At 37.4% G+C, this 15096-nt stretch overlaps 2 long non-coding RNA genes across 13 annotated transcripts in view, besides 1 other annotated feature; one reads left to right on the top strand and one right to left on the bottom strand.

The window, feature by feature from the left end:
• DIRC3 (disrupted in renal carcinoma 3) overlaps nucleotides 1–15096 on the top strand; it is a 506425-nt gene that overhangs the window by 366049 nt on the left and 125280 nt on the right. The window lies entirely within an intron of this gene.
• On the bottom strand, nucleotides 11298–11874 carry LOC124907981 (uncharacterized). Its single transcript, XR_007088086.1, has 2 exons — nucleotides 11778–11874; nucleotides 11298–11543 (listed from the first exon to the last, which is right to left on the bottom strand). It is a non-coding gene; the product is annotated as an uncharacterized LOC124907981 (long non-coding RNA).
• Nucleotides 12212–12381: an enhancer, noted in NCBI's record as "experimental_56991 CRE fragment used in MPRA reporter constructs". NCBI's record gives its function as "activates a minimal promoter by MPRAs in K562 erythroleukemia cells, with activity observed for both the introgressed and non-introgressed 2:218276822 variant alleles {active_cell/tissue: K562}" and the evidence as "EXISTENCE:reporter gene assay evidence [ECO:0000049][PMID:34662402]".

Raw genomic sequence — 15096 nt, 5'->3', positions numbered from 1 at the left:
TTCTTTATTGCCAAATAATATTCAATTGTATAGATAGCTATATTTTTGTTTTTTTGTATAGGTAACTATTTTCTCCCATTATGAGGTTTGTCTTTTTCACTTCTTGATGGTATTATTTGCAAAATAAGAGTTTTTAATTTTAAATGCAATTTATATTATTTCTTTTGTTACCTGTGCTTTTGATGTTATATCAAAGACACCATTGCTTGACATAAAGCCACAAAGATTTATTTTTTGTTTTCTTCTAAGAGTTTTAGTGTTTTAGCTCTTACATTTAGGTTTATGATTCATTTTGAGTTTATGTCTGTATATATTATGTGGTAGAGATCCAAATTTATTCTTTTGTATGTGGATGTCCAGATGTCCCTCCACAATTTGTTAAAAAGAGTATTCTTTCTTCATGAAATTGCCACTGCACTTTTGTTGAACATCAACTGATCATAAAAATATGGTTTATTTATGCACTCTCAATTTTGTTTCATTGATCTATACATCTAGCCTTGTGTCAGTACCACACTTTCTTGGTGACTATAGATTTGTAGTAAATTTTGAAATTGGGAAGTTTGAGTAATCTAATTTTATTGTTGTTTTTCAAGATTGTTTTAGATTTTTGGGGTCCTTTGCATTTCTAAATGAATTTAAGGACCAATTAGTGATTTCTACAAAGAAGCAGCTGCTAACTTGATTGGGATAGTTTTGTACTTGTGGGTTAAATTGGGAAGCATACTCATCTTAAAAAATATGAAGTCATCTGATTCATGGACATGGACTATCTTTCTATTCATTAAATCTTTAATTTCCTTCAATGATGTTGGTGTATATTTTATTAAATGTACTCCTAAGTATTTTGTTCTCTTTAATATTATTATAAACAAAATTGATTTCTTAATTTCATTTTTGCAATTTTACTGCAGATGCATAGAAACGCAGGTTATTTTAGCATATTGATCTTGTATTCTGCAAACTTGCTCAACTCATTTACCAGTTTTAATAGTTTTTTAATGAAATTGTAAATAGTTTCTATATACAAAATCTTGCCATCTGCAAATGGAATAGTTTTACTTTTTCCTTTTTAACCTTTGACTTTCATTTTCACTTCTTTTTCTTAAATAATTGCCCTGGCTAGACCCTCCCTTACAATGTTGAATAGGAGTTGCAAGAATGTACATTCTCATCTTAATCCTGATCTTATGGAGAGAGCATTCAGTCTTTTACTATTAAGTATGATATTAGCTGTGGGCTTTCCATAGTGATCTTTATCAGGCTGAGAAAGTCCTTTTCTAGTTCTAGTTTGTTGGGCATTTTTATCTTAAATGGGCATTGGGCTTTTGTCAGTTTTTTTCTGCGTCCATTGAGAAAGGATATAAGAAAGTGCTTTGCTCTTTCTTCTATTAGTATGGTATATTACATTAAGTAATTTTTTGACGTTGAACAAACCTTGCATTTCTAGGATAAGTCTCACTTTGTTTTAGTGTATATATGTATTTATATGTTGTTTTATTGAATTTGCTTATGCTTTGTTGAGTACTTTTGGGTCTATATTAATAAGGGGTAATGATCTGACGTTTTGTTTTCTTGTGGTGTCTCTTTGTATGATGACCCAGTAATGCTGACTTCAGATAATGAGGTGAGAAGTGTTCCTTGCTCTTGTGTTTTTTGGAAGGGTTTCTGAAGTATTGGTATCAATTTTTCTTTGAATGTTTGGTGAGTTTTAAACTTACTAATGCAATTGTTTTACTTGTTAAAGATTTATTCATTATTTCTATATTTCTTGAGGAATTTTCTGTAATTTGTGTCTTCTAAAAATTTATCTAATTCAGGTATATTATGTAATTCATTGGTATGTAGTTGTTCATAACATTCCCTTATAAATTTTTTTTTATTTATGTAAGATTGGTAATGATGTCTCTTCTTCCATTCTGACTTTATAATTTGAGCCTTCTTTATTTTTTTTTTTTTTGATTATTCTAGCTAAAAGTCTTGTCAATTTTATTGCTCCAAACTTTATACTTAGTTTTCCTATTGGATTTTAGCCAGTTTTGCATCTATTAGTAAATTCACACCAACATTTCTGTCACCCTACATACTTTGTTCTTCAAATTCTTTTTTGTAACAATATTAACAGGTTACTAATTCTCTCATTAATTAATAAGTTGAATTTATACTTTTATGAAAGTGATGTTTTTAAACTTTTGAAAATTATACTTTAGCAAAAGAAAATATGAAAATAAGAGTCAGAGAGTCATGGAAAATGAGATGAGAGGGAAAGACAGGGCAGACCATGACAGGCCTTGAAGGCCATGCTAAGAAGATTAGTTTCACTCTGAGTGGGATGAGAAGCTTTTGTCATCCCCTTAGACAAGTCTTGCCCCTAACTGAGACCTCAGCTATCTGTAATATGTCTCTATGCCTCCTCACAGGGTGACTGTGAAAATAGAATGAGACAGAATGAAATCAAAAATTACATTGTTATTGTTAGTGCCCAATTGGCTCACCTATGAGGTCAGTTTTCAGGTACAAACAACTTGGCCTAAATTTATTGTTTTCAAATTCTTACCTATTACCAGGATTTCTGAGGGAAGCAGATACAGAGAATTCCAGAAGGCTAAGCCCTGGATTCTGAGAAAGGTAATTTTGTCCAAGAAAATTCTGGTGATTTGTGCATGGGCATGGGATACAGTATGGTCATTAGATCCCTGGAAGAAAAGGAGATAGGGCTGGAGAAGTCTGAAAGCTCAAAAGGCAGATTTGACCTGTGTCTTCAGAACTCCACATGGTACTGACTGTAGGTGGCTAGAAGGCTAAGGTGTTAGAGGGGTAGGGTTCAGGAGAGGACACACAGATCAAGAGAGCAATGCTGGGGTGCATTTCATGAAGCTGATGGAAGGCCTGAGAACTCAAAGGTTTGAGCTTAAAGAAGAAAGCAAAATACTAGACATGAGCATTTGCAAAGCAGGTTTAAGGCATCAGTGTACTGTGATGTTTGGAACTGAGCGACAAAGGCCAAAAGGAAGGATAGCACAGTAAACCAGAGAAAAAATTCCCTTGCACAAATTAACAAGCATTTCTCCTTAGCCTACATCTCGGGGTATTCACAGATGGGAAAATGAATCAAATCAGTATCTCTCTCATTTTATTTTCTTTATTTTTATTTCATTCTGCCCCTGGCTTGACCTAGATCTTAAGTTATTCATGGAGATTTAAAAATATATTCCAGCACTCAAAATCCTCCCTGGCAAACTTCTGCCAGTTGCATAACGTAAATTTTTGTTGTTTATACTAGCTCCGTTTTTCATGTCTGTGTTTTTCAATAGTCCCTCAGCTTGCCTTTCCCAGAGTTCAGCTAAAGTCCTGGGAAGCAACGGTAACCCCAAGACAACCTCTCAGGCAAGTCTAATGGGCTGAAATAGGTGGCCTCCAAAGAAGGAGAATACACCCAGGGAATGGTCTGAGCACACAGCCCTGGTTATTTGAGGTAATGGAAATCTAAATTACTCTGCTCTCAAGCCTTTTGAAGGGGCTTAGTTTATCAGCCGTGACCCAGTACATAGGGCTATAAAGTATGTTCTTTAAAGATTTTCTTTTCTTCCTCTTTCTCTCCTTTCTATTAAGAGTAGAAATCCTCAGGAAAAGAATCGTATAAACGTAAGGGCAGAATTAAGATAAATGCATTTCTTTTCTTTAGGAAATTTTCCATGACGAATGAACAGCACTCTACCCCTTAGCCAGCCAGGTCAAGTGTTGGGTCTTTAAAGATTCACTTTTCTAGAGCTGAGGCTGGGGGTTGGGTCTGGGGACCTGATAAGGGATGAGGGCTTGCGAGAGAAAATAGTTCTCTAGAAAAGGAAAACTTATGGTCAGTGCTGATCTCTCCCAAAAGGTCTGCTGCTTCTTGGTGGTTTCAGAGCTGATGGTGGACTCCGTATTATTGTTTTGGGGCCTCTCCCGCAGTGGCCCTCTGGAGCTGATCTGACCATTCACAGCTGCAGCTGTGGGTGCTGAGAACACTTATTTATATATTTATTTATTTATTTATTTATCTATCTATCTTTAGTTTTATTTTAGTTTTAGAGATGAGGGTTTGTTTCATCACCTGGGCTGGAGTACAGTGATAATCATAGCTCACTGCAGCCTCAAACTCTTGGGCTCAAGCAGTCCTCCTGCCTTAGCCTCCCAAGTAGTTGGAACTCCAGGTGCACCCCACCACACCTGACTATAGTTTATTGATTTATTGATTTTAGATTTTGGGTCTCTCTATGTTGCCCAGGCTCTTCCTGAACTCTTGGCCTCAAGAGATCCTCCTACCTCAGCCTCTGAGTCACTAGGATTACAGGCATGAGCAACCAAGTCTGGCAAAAATACTTTCAATAGGGGGTACACTGCTCATGCCCGATGGACACAAAGCTTGTTTTTCTACATTTGCACTAAAGAGTGAGCACACTTGTAGGTTATGTAATTGGAAAGGCTTCATGGAAGAAAAGTATCAGAATATCTGGGTCCCAAACCTGGCTCTGTCACTGAATGAAACTTAGAGAGTGTAAATGGTATGTCCAAGCTCACCTAGCTAATGCTACAACTTGTGAAGCTGGCAAGGATTGAACCATATTGCCTAAGATCCTTCTAAGTTCTAACATTCTGTGTCTGAATGTTACAGAGATCCCTGAATGTACTTAGATGTTTGCTTTCTTTTTCTATGTCCCCTTCTTGTACTCCCTGTGTAATTGTGTTTTAGAGGGCTTGGTCTAGCAAAGTTAGAAAGCCACTAATTAGCAGATAAAGAAAACGTTACCTTAGGGGTCCTACTTAATTTTACTTATGGAATACTAACAGTTTTGAAATCAAGTAGGGATGGGATGTTTGACGTCTAAGAATGTCAGGCCCAAAGGACATTCTGGAGTGAAATCTTATGCAACAGTAAAACATCATGGGCTGGAGATGAGAGAACTCGGGAAAAATGATCATCTTATTTGTGTGCTCACTGCGTGCTAATGCAGAGGTTCTGGTTGCCAAGGGAAGAGAGGTACAAGTTGAAGCATAGATGGACAAGAAGAAAATGAGGATATGAAATGCAGGTGGTGAGTTATTTTTGTAAGTTTGTATCAGTTTTCAGGACCTTTGGCCATCACCCCAAGAGGTGACACTTTGTTTGGGCTGTACTGACACCAAGTAGTGAATTGAATAGAATCTTAGATGCATGGTTGAGACTGCCTGGGGCCACTGCTGTGAATAAGGCTAATGGGAGTGGATTATAAGTAAAATGAAAATAAAAAGAGGGAGAAAAAGCGAAAGAAGGAGAATAGTTTTATTAAAACAGGCTAGCCTTCTATCAACACATCAGAAGCTTAATCTCTTTGTTTCATCTTTAAAATAAACACTTTGATACCACTTGGTATCTTTCTCACTAATCCTCAAATACTTTTAATCACTTTTGAATATAGCCATAGTCTTAATACTAGGTTTGTTTAAAATATTCCTTTCTACTCACACGGAACCCATTCTTGGAGTCCAGCTTCTTAGAAACTTGTCTATTTCCCTGAAACTTTTGGCTATATTTCCACAAAAAATAATCTCTCAAAAATTTTCAAATATTTGGCACTGGCAATTCAGAAAAAGTCCAGCGACGGGCAAAGCTGGACAGGCATGACTAAACTTTCTCAGAACTCCTGGATTTCAACTAAGCAGTCCAAGAAGTCAGCAAAAGCTAGGCTTCTGTCCTCCCCATCATCTTCTGTGCTCTTTTTGTTTTCTTTGCACCTCTCCACTCACTTCCTTCTTTAGTATGATTGTGGCACTAATAAAAACTGCTAAGTTGCCATTGTTGAGATATGCTAGGACTATCTGGTATCTCTGGTTCCTCAGGTTTTAATTAACTCTCCCTGAGGTGTTAACAGACTGTATTCAAGTCCTTCTCCCACTCACTTCAGCTTATGGATCCTGATGCAGAAATTTCTACTCTCACTTTCCCACTCACAGTTTGGAGCAGGCAATGATGCCAGTAGGTTGAGTTGGAGGGGAGTGATAGGGTTGGAGAGTACTGTGGAGGAACTGGGAGATAGATCCTAGTCAGTGATGAACCTTTTAAGAATGTGTAACTTGACATGCAGCTCCATGGGCTGGAAGAGTTAGAAAGAATTTCTGTGAAGAAGCTGGTTCTGAGAAGTCTCACAATCCAAATGGGTGTGTAATCCCTGCAACTCGGGAAAACCAGACAGAAAGGGTGGATAGCAGCATGGAAGAATCATGATTGCTGAGCGGCTGTATCCCCCTCATAAGGATGGGACAGATGGGATGGGAGATGACCGTAAGGAGAGACCACACAAAAAGATTCCTCTGAGATTAATTAAACTGGGGGTTTTAACCAGAAAAACAGTCATGAAATCATTGACTTGATGAGATGATTTTAAAAAGTAATTAGAAATCAAACCTGGTTTTAAAGGCTATGAAGAAAACAACTCAGCTCAAATTGGAAGGGTAAGGCAAAAACAAAGTAAAGACCTATATGTGAAGGTGGTGGCAAATGCTTCACCTGCCAAGTATCTCACTCCAGTTGTCCACACTCTGGACAGGAGCAGCTCCCTGTGCTCCACATTTTCAGGAGAAAGTAAGGGGAAAGACTTGAATGAGTCAGAATCCAGGACTAGACTGTTTCTGGAGAACCTGACTTTGGAGGTTTCTGGCAGGAGTAGTCTAAGCAGAGATCAGGAATTTTATTTATTTGGGGGTCATCTTTAGATGACCAAGTTTGTCCCACTTCCAGCTAGAAGCATCAAAGTTGCACCTTCAGGGTTGAACCATGGAATTCTTGAATTGCCCAATTCATAGGTCTAGCAGCTCTTGAGTTCTAAATCATAACTCTGAAGATTGCTTTGTGGCGATGGTGGTGATAGGGATGAGAAGTGTCCAATGAAATAAAAGTATATGATCCCAAAATGCACACAGATAATAAGCTATTGTCTAACGGCATAATCAAGAGGTATGGATTCTGAGCAAGTGTTTCATGCCATGGGTACAACTGACAAAAAAAAAATCATTTTTGAAACCCACTGGTTAGTAGGGGCAGAGCACTGGTTATTTTGCCTGGTCGATGCATCTTTTTCTTGGCGTCTGGCTTCTTTAACTCAGCATAATTATTTTGAGATTCACCTGTGTTAGGGATTGCATCAATAGAAAAAAGAATGTGTCTTTTTTATTACTGAATAGAGTACCATAATATGTACAAGATATGCCAAATCTGGTATGACTATTTACCTGATGAAAGACATCTGGGTCATTTACAGTTTTGTGCAATTATAAATCAAGCTGCAGTAAACATCCATGCATAGGTTTTCTGTGTGTGAAGATAAGTGATTATTTTACCTAGGGGTGGGATTGTGGATTATACAGTAAGTATATGTTTAACTTTTTAAAAATCTGCCAAACTGTTTTCCAAAGTGGCTATGCCCAACAGTAATGTGTGTGTCCCAGTCACTCCATATCTTTGACAACACATGAAATGGGTCAGTGTGTTCAATGTTAGCCATTCCAATAACTCCGTAGTGGTATCTAATTCTAGTTTGATTTGCATTCCCCTAACAACTGCTGATGTTGAGCATCTTTCCGTCTATTTATTTGCCAACCATACTTTTTCTTTAGTGACTGTCTGTTCAAATCTTTTGACCATTTGTATTTGATTACTTGCTTTCTTATTATTGAATTTTGAGAGTTCTTTATGAATTCTAAATACAGCTTCTTTGTCAGATATATTATTTACAAATATGTTCTCCTATGCTGCCTTTTATCTTTTAATTCTCTTTACAGAATTTACAAAATTCTGTCTTTTGAAGAGGAGAAGTTTTTAACTTTGAAAGCCAATATATGATTTATTTTCCTTTTATGGATTATGCTTTAGGTGTAAGACCTAAGAAATCTTTGCCTAATTCAAGTTCACAAATGTTTTTTTTTTCTTTATTATTATTATACTTTAAGTTTTAGGGTACATGTGCACAATGTGCAGGTTAGTTACATATGCATACATGTGCCATGTTTTTATCCTGTGCTGTCTTGTGAAGGTTTTATAGTTTAGATTTTACATAGTGGGATGTATTTTGGGTTAATTTTTTATTATGAGGTGAAATATGGATTGAAGGTCATTCTTTGGCATGCGGATATCCAAATGTTACAGCACAATTTTTTGCAGCCTACCTTTCCTACTCTAAATCATCTTTGTACCTTGGTAAAAAACCAAGTTGTCCATCTCTGCGTGGATCTATTTTTGGACCATGTCTTCTGCTCCATTGGTTTGTTTGTTGGTCTTGATGCCAATAGCACCCTGTCCTGATTTCTTCAGCTTTTACAATAAATCTTGAGCTCAGATAGTGTTAGTCATCCAACTTTGTTTTTCTTTTTCAATTTTGCTTGAAATTTGTTTTAGATCTTTTAAATTGTCACATGAACTTTAGAAACAGTTTGTTAAATATACCAAAAATCTGCTGGAATTTTGATTAGGATTGCACTGAATCTATAGCTCAATCTTGAGAGAACTGACATCTTAACAACATGAATGTTCTGACCCGTGAACATGATGTAATCTCTCCATTTATTTGGGTTTTTAAAGATTTCTTTAACAATGTTCTGTAATTTTCAGGGCATAGCCCTTTCATATATGTTGTCAGAATTGTCTTTAAATATTTCATATTTTTGATGTTACTATAAATAATATTATGTTTAACATCAATTTCTATTTTTTCATTGTTACCATATAGAAATCCAATTGATGTTTTGTAGATTCTATCTGATTTTCTACTATTCAGTCATGTAGCCTGCAAATAAAGAAAGTTTCACTTCTTCTTTTCCAATCTGGATGGTTTTTAGTTCTTGCTCTCATCCGACTGCTCTGACTCAAACCCATAGTACAGTAAATAGAAACTGTTAGAGCAGACATGATTTTCTTGTACCTTGTCTTAGGAGAAAGACATTTGGCTTTTTAACCATTAAGTAAGATTGAGGCAGTTCTCTTCTATTCCTGGTTGGCTGAAGGTTTGTGGTTTTTTTATTTTAATTTTAATTTCTTGGTAAGGAATGAACACTGAATTTTGTCAAATACTTTTTTGGTATCTATCAGAAATATCATATGAGTTTTATTTTTTAAAGTATGCTAATAGTGGTGAATTGCATTGATTTGTCGTCAAATATTAAGCCAAACTTGCAGTTCTGGGATAAACCCTATTTGGTCATTTGTAAAATTCCTTGTACATATTGTTGAACTTGATTTGCTAAAACTTTGTATAGACATTTTACATCTATGTTTGATGACAGTTAGTATGTAATTTTCTTTTCCTATAATGTATTTGTATGACTTTTGTATCAGAGTAAGCCTGATTTCATAAAAAGAGTTGGAAAATATTTTGTCCTTTTCAACTTTTAGAGTTGTTTATGTAGAATTGGTATTAGTTCTTTCTAAAATGTAATTCACCAGTGAAGACATCTAAGCCTGAAGTTTTCTTTGTGGGAAGATTTTTAACTACAAATTTAATTTTTTTCTTAGATATAAAGTTATTTGTGCTAAGGTTACCTATTTCTCCTTGAGTGAGCTTTGGTAGTTTGTGCCTGATAGAGTTTGAGCATATGTTCCTGCAAAATCTCATGTTGAAATATAATCCCCAACGTTGGAGGTGGGTCTTAGTGGGAGGTGTTTGGGCAATGGGGGTGAATCCCTCGTGGCTTGGTTGTGTCTTCACGACAGTGAGTAAGTTCTCCTGAGATCTGGTTTTTTAAAAGTGTCTGGAACCTCTCCCACAACCCACACTCACTCTCTCTCTTGCTCTACTTTCACCATATGATGTGCTTGCTGCTGCTTTGCCTTCTTCCCTGAGTAAAAGCTCCATGAGGCTTTCCAGAAGCTGAGCAAACGCTGGTGCCATGCTTGTACAGCCTGAAGCACCATTAGCCAATCAAATCTCTTTTCTTTATAAATTACCTAGTTTCTGAGATTTCTTTATATAGCAACACAAAGAACAGATTAACACAATATCTTTCAAAAAATTTGCCTGTCACTTAGGTTGTCAATTTATTGGCATAAAGTTATATATAATATTTTCCTATTGTCCTTTTCATATGGTAGAATCTGTAGTGATGCTACCTCTCATTCCTGATACTGGTAATTTGTGTCCTTTCTTGCTCTCTGATTTTTCCTGATCAGTCTGATTGAGGTTGATTATTGATGTTTTTAAAGAAACAACTATTATTTCATTGTTTAATTAATTTTTTATATTGTTTTACTCTTATAGTTCATAGATTTTTGTTTTGATTTTTATCATTTCTTTTTTGTTTACTTTGGATTTAATTTACTCTTCTTTTTGCACTTTCTTGATGATTATGGTATCTCCCCTGGTAAGCATCTTTTTTTTTCATTTTCTTTAGGCAGAAGCTGAAGTAATTGATTTGAGATGTGTATCTTTTTCTAATCTAAGCATTTGGCAATATATTTTTCCCAAAGTACTACTTCAGTGCCATACCACAAATTTTTATTTTCATTTAGTTCAAAATATTTTCTAATTTCCCTTTTGAGTTCCTCTTTGATAATCAGATAATTATTAAAATTTGATAATGTGTTAATTGCTATTATGTAAACAAACAGAGTAATGGGATAGAATCTCATAGGGAATTGTCTTTGCTTTAGATGCGGCCATAAGAGAAGGCCTGTTGGAGGAGATGATATTTAATCTATGACCAGAAGGGTGAAGGGAAATCAGCCAGGTAAAGAGCTGATACAAGAGCATTTTAGGCACAAGGGCAGCAAGTACAAAAGTCTTGAAGCAGGAACGAATAGGAAAGAGTCTGAGAAGAAGAAAGAGGTGAAAGAAAATTTGTCGTAAGTTCTAATTCTCAAAGGATGCTGATTCCAAATATTACAAATCGCAGGAACAAGTCATAGTCATAAGAACAGAGCATGGCCATATTTGGGCTGACAACAGCTCTTCTTAGAGTCTGAGTAACAGTCAAGTGACCTCTGGAGAAACTCTGCCATCGCAGGAATCCTATCCCTATTAACTTGTTGAGCTAGTGTTCAACCTTACACTGTGCTGCCGTACATCCTTAGTAAATTAAATTCTTCACCCTTGAAAGTTTGCCATGAGAGATTACTAGATTACTATTCTTTCTTTTAGACGTTTTTTATGTGCTAAAAAAACTTCCCAGATTGACCTCAAATAACTGATTCATGTCAAATATATATATTTTTGCCTTTTCCTTTGCCCTAGCCTGGGTCTCTTCAATTCTTGGTGACAAGATTAAAATGATAAATCATGGACACAATCTGGTGCCATTCATTTTCTACTTTATTCTTTTTCACCACAAAGGATCTGGGATGGAAAATGTTCCTCAGTTAGCCCCAGCTGGCTCCAGTACCACAGTGAGTTAGTAAACATCTGCTAACGACAGGCTGAAGACGTGCCTCCCTCCACTTGTTCTCTCCAAGCCGGCTCACTGAGGAGTTGTTCTCTTTATCTCTGGAAATCTTCCTTTGTACTTTCTCTCCCACTTGGCTTCCATCAGCTCTTCCCATCCTGTCCTCAAGTGAATGATTCACAGTTTATATATGTCAGTCTCGGGAAAATCTACAGAACATTCTCTCTTTTCCTCAGTGGTGAGGACCCTGCTGTTAGGCCTTGGGCCATCACTTCACCTTCCAGCAGATCAGGGAAAACATGGCCTTCTATACGGAGGGGTGTTATTTTTTGCCCACCCACCCCCAGGACCAACAAAGAAGGCTGCAGGATGGGATCAATCAGATATCTTACCATGAATGCAGTTCCAAGGTTGGAAACATTTCAAGAGAGAAAAATTAAAATTCTGCCCCACTTGGGATGTTGTTCTCTCCCAGTCTTGAAACATTCTGAGGAAGGTCTTGCCAAAGTTTCTTTTACTGGTTATGTTCCTGTTTCCTGAATTCCCCCAGTAAGGAAATTCCAACTGAGAGGAGGAACAGTTATACTCTCCTTCTCATGTTTGCACTTTGACTGGTAAAGAAAGAATACAATACTTCCATCTTCTCTCTCCACTTGCTTATTTGCCCCTCCCCAAAGTGGGAGGACTAGCTAACCTGACTGTTGAGGACCTGACTTTCATGGAACCACATTTAATAGTGGATGGGGGACAGTGTTAAATGCCATATGCAGTTCACACATGACATCGTTTCTTAGTTTCTTGGCTCTGTGTTCTCTCGGGGGAATTGCAGGATCATAGTCTTTAATCTCCTCCTCATAGGAAATTCTATGAGATAAACTTCTCTAGGCAAGGTCCCCCAGTATGGAGGGCCCGGAAAGGATATCCTGGAGAGGATATGGGGCAGCCCTGTGCTTCCTTGTAGGTACCTTGCTGGTGGCTAGGCAGGTGAATTTATGTCAGACTCTCAACTCAGCTGTCCAAATAGGTGAGTCCTGAGACCAAGATTTGAGTAGGAGGAGAAGGAAGTTCCATTGAGCTCAAGGTTTAAGTCCTACTCTCTAAAAATTTTCTAGAAGTTCTACTTTTAGAGAATGATTAGGTATATCCTTCAGCAATAAAGAGGCTGATCTTTTAACCCCCATTTGGGTCTGATGAGTCTTGTATCTTTTCATTTGATGAAAGAGAGACTGGCGGGAGAAGACTGTAACCCCTCTTCCAGCCTCCATTTAATTTTTAATGCTAAGTGTAGCCTTTTAAAATGAAAATGAGTGGCACATGCCTGTAATCCCAGCTACTTGGGAGGCTGAAGCACGAGGATTGCTTGAACTCAGGAGAAGGTTGCAGTGAGCCAAGATTGAACCACTGCACTCCAGCCTGAGTGACAGAGCGAGATTCTATCTCAAAAAATAAACAAATAAATAAAATGAAAATGAGTTTTAAAGTTATACCTATTATCTCTCAGAGCACAAAGATTTCTTGTATGTATATGTGCGTCTTACTGCCCTCAGTATGCATGTCTGAAAAACTAAGATACATTAGGTTCAAGCATCCAGAAAAACAGAAAACTAGAAAGGCCAGCTGTCTTGCCTAGAGTCACAGACATATTACTCAGCCCTTTCTTTTTGCATCTTTCCTATGGTATTTGAGTTGGCACTGCTTGTCTGCTTAATGCTGGCAATTGCAGGTATATAATAAGGAGGTTAAAATTACCTTTCCTCTGCATGCCTGTAAACCATCCCCTTGACTCTACTAGAAGTTCCACACACCAAATTTTAGACAAGAGTCCCAAGAATGAAATAACTCCTCTAGACTCTGGGGAGAATGGATTAACCACCAGCTAAATCATCTGCCAGTATTGATAATCCAGCTCCTTTGCTCTATCTGTGGTTATCACCATTGATGTAAACTCTGCAGGTAGAATGGTGATTCTGGTCACATGGAGAAAGGCTTGGATATGTTTAATTTCCTGCCACACTCTGGCCAAAAAAGTGAATTTCATGTCTTATGATCAAATAACCGTAACTTTGCAAGAGCAGAGTGTGTTGGAACAGGGATATTGAGGGTCCCTGTGTGGCTTGGGGCATTGCCAGGGCAGCTACAGGGTCTGAGTGTTTTTATTTTATTCCTGCTTTATTGCCCTGCCTAATACTCCCATTTGAAAATGTCGTGGAGTAGGCTGGTGTCATTTGTTTTCATAAATTAATGTCTATTGCAATTTATGGCCAGATGGGCCCTGAAAAATAAGAGCCTTGTGTGTCTCTTGGAAGGTTTAAAGAAAAGCAGTGGGCAATGCTCAGGGTGAACTTTTGCACTTTAAGGCTTCATTGTGGGGAGAGAGTAAATGCTTGTGAAAAATCCTGTTTTATAACAGCTGGGCACAAAGGACTCCTTATTAGGATTATTTTTTTTGCCACTGCTTCTAATTCCTGTAGCAACCAGAAACACACACACACACACACACACACACAGAAATATAGAGAATTCTTCTTACTGGGAAGCCATGTGTGTTGGGAATAACTTCAACTTGCTTGGAAATCAGAGGTCTAGATTCTCAAAACCCCAGATAGCTTTCCAGCCAACTAATGGGAGTGTGGTACATATTGGATCATAGCACATAAAGGCTCTGACTCAGTGTGCACATCTCTCTTTTTGCTACTTCTTCATGGGTCAATGAGAAGAAATGGGTCAGTGTGAAGCACAGAGAAAAGAAAAAAATGAAAAAAAAAAGCACTAGAGAATTTGATGATTCCATGATTTTAAGAAATAATGGCTTGTGGGAAGCTCGAATCAAAGGTCAGCTTGGTAGCAGCCAAAGAGGAGGCTGCTTGGCTGCTGTAAGCACTCAGAGACCAAGTGCGGCTGGACAGGCTTCCTCCTACAAGTGCACATGCTTCTGAGTATGTGAAGGGTAGGCCTAGAGAAGACCCTTTTTCTGAGCCCTGTTTGTTTACAGCTTTTGACTTGGGCAAGTCACATAGATTCCAAGTCAATTCATTTCCAGGTAGAACAAAGGATAAGCTCCAGAGTCTCTCCGTCTCTAACACCCCTTTGATGATAATCTTTGATTTATGAAATTATGTTAGGATGAGGGTATTATTTTATTCACTTACTCAAGCAATTGGCATTTAAATCATTTAAATTTCTCTGAAGAGGCACAAAATTATCTGAGTGTCTTTTCCCATCAAATGCTTTTGTCTTATTTTTGTAGACCTTCACAATTTGAAAAAACATTTTCATATATAAAAACCCTGTGAGGTAGATAATACAGGAACTATGACTTGTCTCAGATGTCATAACAGGACAGGGATTTAAACTCAATCTCCCAGAGATATCCCTCTCTGTCATTCAACAAAGACAGCCACAGATTTTTTGGGCACATACTAGATGCAAAGTACTTTGCTGAACAGTAGAAATGCAGTAGTGAAAGGAACAGGTGCAATTATATACTCAGGTAACTCATATCTTGCAGGACAGGATGACATTTAATTATAATAAAGTGTATTGTGTGTGAGGATAGGAGATGGGGACATTCAGTAGGAGAACCTATCCTAGAGTAGAGGTCAGTGAAGATCTTACCAGAGTGAAATTTAATGTCAGAAGAATGGGGTCACTTTAGTCAGGGCAAAAGGGAGTTAGGAAAGAATATTCCAGGCAAGGGGAACAACATATTCT

The sequence above is a fragment of the Homo sapiens genome, chromosome 2, assembly GCF_000001405.40.
Source record: "Homo sapiens chromosome 2, GRCh38.p14 Primary Assembly".
NCBI lineage: Eukaryota > Metazoa > Chordata > Mammalia > Primates > Hominidae > Homo > Homo sapiens.
This window is presented reverse-complemented; position numbering and strand designations above follow the sequence as displayed.